Raw genomic sequence first — 1,927 nt, 5'->3', positions numbered from 1 at the left:
ACTGCAGTGGCTCATGCCTGTGATAATCCCAGCACTCTGGGATGCCGAAGCGGGCAGATCAGCTGAGGTCAGGAGTTCAAGACCATCCTGGCCAACATGGTGAAACCCTGTCTCTACTAAATATACAAAAATTAGTTGGGCATGGTGGCACATGCCTGTAGTTCCAGCTGCTGAGGAGGCTGAGGCAGGAGAATTGCTTGAACTGGGGAGGCAGAGGTTGCAGTGAGCCGAGATCACGCCATTGTACTCCAGCCTGGGTGACAGAGCGAGACTCTGTCTCAAAATAAAATAAAGACCCCTTCCAGTCATCTTTTTACAAATGATGCACGGAAATTAAGGGCTTTAAACACAGACTTATGTCAGTTTTATTCCTAGTCCCACCAGTTAGTGGCTTCTGTAAATTTAGGTAAATCTAAGCCATATTTCCATTAACAGGAAGAGAAGTCGACATTGTTGTGGCGATTAAATAAGAAATATATGAAAGGGCTTAACACAAGGCGTGGCACATAGTAAGACATCAATATATGGGTGCTATTATTTTTCTCTAATCAATTTTATTCTAGCTCTTAATGGGTAAAGTAGCTAAGGAAAAAAGTTAAATGATTTTTCATTTAATCAAAACCTCATTCCTAGAACCTTTTGTGGAATTTTATTTATTTATTTAGGAACAAGGTCTTGCTCCAGCACCGACGCTGGAGTGCAGTAGCACATTCATAGCTCACTGTAGCCTCTAGTTCCTGGGTTCAAGCTATCCTCTTGCTTCCGCCTCCTGAGTATCTGGGACTACAGGTATGCATCTGTATAGCAGGGTGATTTTTAAAATTTTTTGTAGAGATGGGGTCTTGCTATGTTTCCCAGGCTGGTCTCAAACTCTTGGCCTCAAGCCATCCTCCTGCCTTGGCCTCCCAGATCTCTGGGATTACAGGCATGAGTCACTGTGCCCGGCCTGGAATTCTTTTTAGACCTGCTGTTTATCTCACGTCCTTAATTCTAGGAATGTGTTATGTTAATGGGAAAATCATCAGAAGGCCTCAGACTGTGTAAGAATGGCAGGTTAAGGTACATGCTTTGTTTAGAGGTTTTTCTGGTAATGTACTTAAATAGCCAACTCAGAAATTCAATATCCTAATTGATTTAAGAGGCCAGTGCTACAAAAACAGGGTGATTATACAAAAAACTCCCAATATCTAGATTCTCTGGATTTGGAATTCTCTGTCTGCTGGACCACGGTGCTCACAGATCTGGCACCGGCTTACCCAGCATACGCCCCTGTGCTCTGCCAAGTAAAGACTAAACATCAGGACCGGTGGCAGGACAGCCTCTCCTTGTCACTGGGTCCTCAACTCTGGTTGAGGGCATCACATCATATAATTTGAAAATAAAAACAAAACACAGCTGGAAGCCCAGTGAGATGCTCTGAGCCCATTGCTAGCGCTGTGGGCTCTGGTAGGTGCTGCTGGGACTGAGTAATGAAGATTTAAATAGGCTTGTTCACTTTGATTTCACAGCCATCCCTTCCATCTCTGTTAGACTTGTGTAAGCAACTGAGGCAAATGCCCCATGGGAGCTAGCTGGCACTTTATCTCAAAAGCATTTAGAGGGCTGATGGGAGAGGTACTTCCATATCAACAGAGGTACTTCCATATCAGTAGTCCAGTGCTATTTCCCCTGGCTTTTGAAAAACAACTCTCATGTTCAAGCTGTGTAACAGAAAGGGATAGCTCAGATTGCCAAACAATACAGACAAAAGAAGCTCTGGGCCTCCCTCCACTTCTTTCCTAGCCTGGTCTCCCTGACTACACAGGAGTCCCTCGAGGAGGACAATGAGAATCACATGGAAGAACAGGTGCAGAGAGTTGGAAAGTGATGGAGCAAGCCGGCTCATTCCTCCCACATTTCTCTTGTTTTTAAAATTAAGACTCCTGCA

General features: G+C 44.4%; 1 annotated feature.

Annotated features, from left to right (window-relative positions):
- Window positions 1,426-1,927: an enhancer, noted in NCBI's record as "NANOG hESC enhancer chr1:90267637-90268138 (GRCh37/hg19 assembly coordinates)". NCBI's record gives its function as "activates a minimal SCP1, AML or CMV promoter by ChIP-STARR-seq in primed H9 embryonic stem cells {active_cell/tissue: H9 hESC(primed)}" and the evidence as "EXISTENCE:reporter gene assay evidence [ECO:0000049][PMID:30033119]".

Source organism: Homo sapiens, chromosome 1 (genome assembly GCF_000001405.40).
Source record: "Homo sapiens chromosome 1, GRCh38.p14 Primary Assembly".
In the NCBI taxonomy this organism is placed as follows: domain Eukaryota; kingdom Metazoa; phylum Chordata; class Mammalia; order Primates; family Hominidae; genus Homo; species Homo sapiens.
Note: the sequence above shows the minus strand (reverse complement) of the source record. Positions and strands in the feature narration are given on the sequence as shown.